The sequence below is a fragment of the Homo sapiens genome, chromosome 15, assembly GCF_000001405.40.
Source record: "Homo sapiens chromosome 15, GRCh38.p14 Primary Assembly".
Classification (NCBI taxonomy): domain Eukaryota; kingdom Metazoa; phylum Chordata; class Mammalia; order Primates; family Hominidae; genus Homo; species Homo sapiens.
The window spans coordinates 25,433,463-25,440,879 of NC_000015.10; the positions used below are offsets into that span (position 1 = coordinate 25,433,463).

At 44.0% G+C, this 7,417-nt stretch overlaps 1 protein-coding gene across 34 annotated transcripts in view, besides 5 other annotated features; it reads right to left on the reverse strand.

Moving 5' to 3' along the window:
• Positions 1–5,594, reverse strand: part of UBE3A (ubiquitin protein ligase E3A) — a 105,329-nt gene extending 99,735 nt beyond the window's left edge. For 26 of the 34 annotated variants that reach the window (NR_148916.2, NM_001354546.2, NM_001354551.2 and 23 more), the window contains exon 1: positions 5,027–5,562. The gene's annotated coding sequence lies outside the window, so the exon portion shown is untranslated. Of the gene's footprint in view, positions 1–4,590; positions 4,863–5,026 lie in introns of those variants that run through there. The other 8 variants (XM_017022548.3, XM_017022547.3, XM_047433008.1 and 5 more) reach the window with 4 other exon arrangements.
• Positions 4,678–5,623: an enhancer, noted in NCBI's record as "NANOG-H3K27ac-H3K4me1 hESC enhancer chr15:25683287-25684232 (GRCh37/hg19 assembly coordinates)". NCBI's record gives its function as "activates a minimal SCP1, AML or CMV promoter by ChIP-STARR-seq in primed H9 embryonic stem cells {active_cell/tissue: H9 hESC(primed)}" and the evidence as "EXISTENCE:reporter gene assay evidence [ECO:0000049][PMID:30033119]".
• Positions 4,678–6,569: a biological region, named in NCBI's record as "NANOG-H3K27ac-H3K4me1 hESC enhancers GRCh37_chr15:25683287-25684232 and GRCh37_chr15:25684233-25685178".
• Positions 4,707–5,126: a silencer, noted in NCBI's record as "silent region_6263". NCBI's record gives its function as "represses an Ori minimal core promoter by ATAC-STARR-seq in GM12878 lymphoblastoid cells {active_cell/tissue: GM12878}" and the evidence as "EXISTENCE:reporter gene assay evidence [ECO:0000049][PMID:35858748]".
• Positions 5,487–5,826: a silencer, noted in NCBI's record as "silent region_6264". NCBI's record gives its function as "represses an Ori minimal core promoter by ATAC-STARR-seq in GM12878 lymphoblastoid cells {active_cell/tissue: GM12878}" and the evidence as "EXISTENCE:reporter gene assay evidence [ECO:0000049][PMID:35858748]".
• Positions 5,624–6,569: an enhancer, noted in NCBI's record as "NANOG-H3K27ac-H3K4me1 hESC enhancer chr15:25684233-25685178 (GRCh37/hg19 assembly coordinates)". NCBI's record gives its function as "activates a minimal SCP1, AML or CMV promoter by ChIP-STARR-seq in naive H9 embryonic stem cells {active_cell/tissue: H9 hESC(naive)}" and the evidence as "EXISTENCE:reporter gene assay evidence [ECO:0000049][PMID:30033119]".

Genomic DNA, 7,417 nt, shown 5'->3' on the forward strand with positions numbered 1-7,417 from the left:
GGCGTGAGCCATGGCACTTGGCCTCTAAAAAGCTCTTAATCTACATTTTCAAGAATGATCACGTTTGAAAAGCATACTCTTTTAAAACAAAGCAACTATCACTTTCATTTGACAAAAGAAGGAACGAAGGCTTCAAAAGCTAAATAACCTGCTCATGACCATTACGAAGCTAGTTAAAACAACCTCAAGACCAAAAGACAGTGCTCATTCCATTTCAATGACTCTGATGCACTTAAAATTTTATAAATAATTTTTAGGGATATCAGTCATAAGGCTTAGAATCAAATAGTAACGACTCATGTACAAAGACCAGTATTTTTTAAAAATGCTCAGCTGGGCATGGTAGCTCACACCTGTAATCCTAGCACCTTGGGAGGCCAAGCCGCTTGAGACCAGGAGTTTGAAACCAACCTGAACACGGCAAGACCCCATCTCCACAAAAAAATTAAAAAATAAAAAAATTAGCCAGGCATGGTGGCATATGCTAATCCCACCTACTCAGGAGGGTGAGATGGGAGGATCACTCCAGCCTGAGACTGCAATGAGTTATGACAGCACCACTGCACTCCAACTTGGGCAACACAGCGAGACCCTGTCTCTAAACAAATAAACAATAAGTAAAATAAACAAAAAGAAAATGCTAACTTTACTTCACTCTCAGATAGGCCTAATAATTAATAAGCTTCTTTTTGAATTATTATCCATAATGGCATTTACCTGTTATTGATAACTCAGATCAAAGCACTACTAAGCAACATTTTTGATAGCAAATGAAAACAAAAGCTGGCAAAGAAACTGTGTATTAATAAGTCATTTGATTAAAAAAAAGGACTTGGCCAGGTATTGTGGCTCATGCCTGTAATCCCAACACACTGGGAAGCTAAAGTAAAAGCTGAGGAGTTCAAGACCAGCCTGGGCAACACAGTGAGACCCCCATCTCTATAAAACAAAAATTTTTAATATTATCTTTTTACAAAGGACTTATTTATATGGCATCTTCAAGTATTTCAAACATTTCGTGTTTGGATTATGGAATATGTCTCCAGAAGAATTAACACTATTTCTATTTAAGGTAATTTTACATCATTTCCTTTATTAGAAGAAATAACAGATCTGCAGATGGCATTTTGTGAAGGCTGCCTTCTATTAATAGTGTACAAAACACTCATATGTCTCCAAAAAGGTGGGTGAGTAATCACAAAGCAAGTATAACTATTCATCCCAAAAGGTAGGACAGAACATGTGCCAATGTGTGCAGAGTCCTGAACTAGAGACATGGACTCTGGTTCTGGTTCTGACACCTGGGTGACTTTAAGAAAATCATTTTAAAGCTTTGCACTCCAATTTCCTCTTGTATAAAATGACTGGAGCAGCTGACCTCATAGACAATCCTACTCAGGTAGCATCTATCCATGTACTGCCAGAAGACAGAATGATAATCATGCCCCCCAAAATTAGAGTATTTGAAGACAACTGCCGGAGTAAAAATTTTAAATTCTATATACATACACACACACACACACACACACACACACACACACACACACACACACACACAAATACTAATACACTACGTGCCAGATACTGGGGTGGTGGGCTGGGACCAAGGAATGAAGTAATGCATGTGCCAGAGGGTTGAACTTTTTAAAAGGAGTAAAAAAGTAAATCTTTACAGTAGCAGCTGGTGGGTAGGAGGTATTGAGTCCATAGAACTGCTCTTAGATTGGAAGGGCATGGGAAAATGAAGTTCCATTATGTGATAGGGTTTTACACACACACACACACACACACACACACAAATGTGAGAAAGTCACTCAACTATAAGCATTCAAAAAAGACAGACATCTTTCTTGTCTTTGTGGGTCCTGTACTTAGCTCAGCTCATAGAAGCCACAGGAGGAACCTAATAAATGTTAGTTGATCATTTACTGATTTACCAATAACCAATTCATGCCTGCTCTAGTGCTGTGGTCTGAATGTGTCCCCCAAAATTCATGTTGAAAGCCTAACCTCCAAGGTGATAGTATTAAGAGGTGGGGCCTTTGGGAAGCTTTGCCATCATTAATGGAATTAATGCCTCTATAAAAGAGGCCCTATAGAGCCCCGTCTACTCTTCTACTACATGAGGTAATGGTGAAAAGACAGCTAGCTATCTATGAACAAGGGAAGAGGGCCCTCACTAAGATGTCAAATTTGTTGGTACCTTGATCTTGGACTTCTCAGCCCCCAGAACCGTGAGAAATAAACTTCTGTTGTTTATAAGCCATGCTGTCTGTGGTGTTTTGTAATAGCAGCCAGAACAGACTAAGACATCTAGTAACACATTCTCTGGTAAACACTAGGAATTCCTGGCCTTAAAAAGTTCATAGCTAATGAGAAAAGAAATAAACAACATAAAGGATAACATGCTGTAGTCCACTACATACAAGGTGCTTCCAGACCATTCAGAAAAACTGGATAGGAAGATTTCTAAGGTAATACTTATTGAGTGCCTACGTGTTAGGCGTTTTACATACTTTAAGCCTCACAACTCTGGGGAAGTTTCACCAACCCATTTTACAGATGACAAAACTGTGGCTTACCAAGATTAATAAGGCCAGAATTAAAATTAGGGTCTAATTCCAAAGATATTACCACTATACATACCAAGATGTCTTGTTACTACATTTTATCCTTACATTTGGCAGTGAGGGGAAAACTCAAAAAGCAGTCAAAAAACTTTTGTCCTGAACCAACATAAAAAGAGCACCTAAGACTTCATCCAGTATTTTACCGAAAGATCACTTCTAAAAGTTTGTCTTCACCCCGATCTAAAAATTAGAAAACTAATTTTCTTTCAGCAGCTGCATATGTACATAATGTAATGTTTCTACATTTAGACCTACACAATTATAAGTCTAAACAAAATATGTGTAACATGATTGGAGAACATAACTAGCAGTCATTTAAGAAAATGGACATTTGGAAACATCATTTCAAGAGCTTGGGATGAAAAATTTTGCTATGACCTATAAATCTGGATCATTCCACTGACTGACACTGAGAGAAACAGTGTATTATCACAGTTTACACAGTAAATTTTTTTGGAGGGGAGAGGGAGGAGATTGAAATAGAAATGATCGAAATAGAAATTATCTAAAGTTTAAGAAATACAACTGATTAAATGTTACATGTCAAAGACACTGTAGGTACCCAATAAATCCTGTTAAATGGACTGCACAAGTGGGATGAGAACACGTTTTCCCCACACCTCTGACTAGTATGTACCTTTCTTAGGAAGTTATTTTTTCAGCCATGGGAAAAAAAAGGGCAGAATTTAGGACAGATAAAACATAAGTAGCTTATAAATCCTCTGAAAGGAAATCAAAACACAGTATTTTGTATCTCTGTATAAAGTTAAGCTCCTCAGGGACAGGGGCAATGTCCAGAGGATAGTGAGCATACTACTTAGCAAACTAATGCAGGTTAATAAATATTGACACAGTAAGACTAGCATAGTTTACATTCTAATTTTGTAAAGATTATAAGTTACCTCTTCATATTCTGTTCTTTTATTTCTCCTGTGTATATTATAAATACACAAAGATTGAAAATTATTTCTTGAAGCTATTTCCTTTTTTATTTTTTGGTCAACTGTATTAGTGTTTCTTAAAAGGGCTTCTGGTCATCCTTAGGGCTTATCAGTAGCATCATTAATAATGTATTCATTTCACTAAAAATGTGGTAAGTAGCTTGGATTTAAAAACAGGATCTAATTTCAAAGCTATTTCCACTATACACACCAAGTTACAACTTTCTTATCTCTCCTAAATTCTAAATTTTACATGATTTACCAAATCACTTCTTAAGTAAGAGTACTTATTGATCAGAAGTGTGAGACAAACACCTTATCCCACTTGTCCAATTTATTCAACAAGATTGATTGGGTACCTTTGTGTCTCTGACAGGTAACTTTCAACAGTTGTATTTCTTAAACTTTAGGTCGTCTCCCAAAAAAAACTGTAATAATTTGCTGCTTCTCTCAATATTGCAGGCAGTAAAATGATCCAAAATTACGGGTCATATCCACATTTCTTCATGATTGAGGTTAACTGTGCACTGTAAACCCCATATGCTATTAGTTTACATTTTCAACAGCACCCTCGCCACTTAATAATCTCAAACAGATTTTGGACTGTTACTAATTTAGCATATCCATAAAAAGTCATTTAAAAAATGTAGACGCTAAATTCTCTTTCAAGGTTGCCAAGCTTCACCAGTGTCTGTATTAAAATTATTTCTAAAATTTTACGGACTAAGGCATTTGGTACATTCAATTCTACCTTTACCAACAAAAGCCTTTACCACCAAGATGAGGAAAGCATCCTTTTCATTTTCTACACTGAAAAGGGGGGGGAAAAAAGGCCAACTGCTTGCATACAGGTCTGCATATAACACAGCAGTCTCTGGCAAAGCCAATAACTCACGTTCAACTTCAGAAATCCTGGTGGCCGGTAACACAGAGTAACCTGTGCGCACAACCCTTGGGCTTGACATACCACTTCATCCGCCCTCCCTTCCCATCAATCCACCCCCAAAACCCCAACCCACCAAGCACACGGCTAAATATGTCTTCCCCAAGAGAGCCAAAAACCTTGAAAACGCCGAGAAAGGGCTCCCCTTTGAAGGAAAGGGCCTGCCCTTCCCTGTCTGGGGCCCCGGCTGGCTCGAAGAGCCTGGCTCCTAGGAGGCCCAAATCTCGACGCCTCGCACGTCCCGCCCCGCCCCGGGCCCGCTCGCGTCCCCTCGGGCGACAAAACCCTCCCGCCGTCGCTCAGCCAGGACTGACAGTTACGGCTGCAGCAGCCGCGGCCACCAGGGGCCTACTTCTGGCACCAGCCCCTTCGGACCACGCGCCCCCAAACACTCGCCTCGGCGGCGGGGGGCGGGGAAGGGGGGTGTCGACCTCGCCACAGCGGGCCCCGAAGGCCGGCCGAGTGACGGAGGGGAGCCAGCGCCGCCTGGCGCAGGCCGCGGCAACACTGACCTGTCGTCGCCCCCGCGCCTGGGCTGCGGCGGCCGCCTCACTGGTCGTAGTCGCCCTCGCCCGCCGCCTCCGCCCGCCACCGCCTCGTTCTCTTTCGCTGCCGCCACCGCCGGGGCTCATGCGGGACCCGCGCTTCCTTATCCGGAAAACGAGGCCGGGAAAGGGAGCGCCGGGGCCGCCGAAATCCCGGCGTTCGTCGCCAGCCGCCGCTGCCTGTCCACACCGGGGGGCTGAGGGGCCCTCCTGCCAGGGGCTACAGGCCGCGAGCTATTCCGAGGAGGAGCCGAAGGAGGCGCCGCCGCCCGCAGCCGAGCGCGCCGGGTCGGCAGAGGTGAAGCGTAAGTAGGCGGCGGATGGCGGGCGCCCGCGCTGGCGGATGGCTACGCGGCGGAGGGGTGCGCGAGCGAGCGAAGCCTGGTGTGTCGGGTCCTGGCGAAGGGAAAAGGCCCCGTCGTCTCCTGTAGTCACCCCGAGCCCAGCGCCACCATCTTGGGAGACACACGGATCTCGCGGCCGCGGCGCAAGACGGGAGGACTGGCTGGGCGGGCCGAGTATCCCGGCAGGCAGCGCGCGCCGCCCGGCCGGGCGAGGGCTCCAGGCCGGGACGCGGGGACGTGGGGCGGGGCCAAGACGCGCGGGAGGGCGCCGCGCTCCGCCCCTCCTTCCTTCGCCGGCCCCGCCTCCCTCCCGCTTGCCGTCGCCGCCGGCGCACGGGCCATTGGGAAGAGGAGGTGGCCTGCGGCCCCTCGGAGTCCCACCAGGCTCGGTCGCCATCTTGCGACTGGACAGAAAGGGTAATCCCTCTTTTTAGTTTCTGCTGTCTGTGACCCGAAAGAATAAACCTGGGACTTCCGGAAGCCCTCTGGGCACCCCCCCCCCCAGGAGGGTTGCAGAGCCCCTTGGTGTACCCAGCAGAGGAACGCCTCAGACTTTGTTGGGAAACGAATGGCTCTGAAAGTTAGCTGAAGCCGCTGGAATAGCCCCCCAGCCCCGAGGCGGGGCAGGTGCCTGCCGTTATTGGCTTTTCGACCCCAACCCTTTTCTATCTGGAGCTGCCTTTGTAGATGTTGCAGGGGTGCCCCGAGAGTGCAGGCCAGATTTTAGAGGACCAAGGTCATCTACTTAGGCCTCTTGCCAACACAGGATGTGTCAACTAGTTTACCAGAGACGAAGGTAAAGTCCCGTCTCCTGCAGTTGTTGACGTTCAGTAGGTCGTCGGTTAAGAAAAGTGGCTCCCTGGTTGACCCCAGCTGGATAGAGGCTAATTTTGATCCATATGACAGCTGAACGTAGTTAAAGCCATTAAAATTAAATCCATTTAAAGTCATATTTGGTACCAGGGTCACCATTTTAAAAGGTGTGTGTGTGTATGTGTGTGTGTGTGTGTGTGTGTGTGTATAGCTTTACAACACTTGCTAGCAAAGCCAAAAGAGTATCACTAACAATTCATAGTGTTACAACTTGCAACTTTGTTGATAAGCCCTTGAAGTACTAGATGAGTACCCATGTCTAGTATTCAGATTTTTTATATCAACAGTCGTACATAGCAGTGTATCTTTTTTAAATTTATTTTTATTTTTAAACTTAGAAATGGTGTCTTGCTATGTTAGGCCCAGGCTGGTCTCGAGCTCCTGGCCTCAAGTGATCCTCCCACCTCGGCCTCCCAAAGTTTTGGGACTACAGGCATGAGCCACAGTGCTCGGCCAGCAGTGTAATTTTTAACTGTCAGTCTCGGAACATCTTTTTTGTATAGCCAAGTGTGTGGGTGTGTGTGTGTATCCGCCTCACAACTATAACCAACCATTGAAAAACCAACAATAAGCTAGAAGAATTTAAGTTATTCCAGGACAACTGATGATAATGATAGTATTAAGCCATATTCGATTTTAAGATGTTTTAACTCAGCTCTTTACTCACTTTTCATTTCCTCTCATTACACATCCACATTTGGAAACTATTTGCTGTTATATTTCATGGAAAGGACTAGTAAGAATTATAATCTTTAAAAAAATTTATCTTCGCAAGTTTTCAAAATAGGCAACAAAGAATGTAAATCTTTAAGGACTTTATTGTTGGACTAATTAAAGCATACCATTTCTACTATATCTAGCATATGGAGATACTTATAGGTATTCTTCCTTTTAAGTAGAAATTGACAATAAATTAAGTGTAATTTTATAATGGCCTGGTGTATCAAAGTGTGGCGGAAATCCCTGAGTTCCAAAAAGATTAAAGACCGAAGGGAAATAAGTCTGCTTTTAGCTAGATGTCAGAATGACTATTCATTGCTTTACTGAGATCAAGGAGGATCTTAATTCCTCCTGGAGAAATTACGTATATCCGTTTTAGTTCATTAATTTTAAATCTGTATTCTTATGTGTGACATTAGTA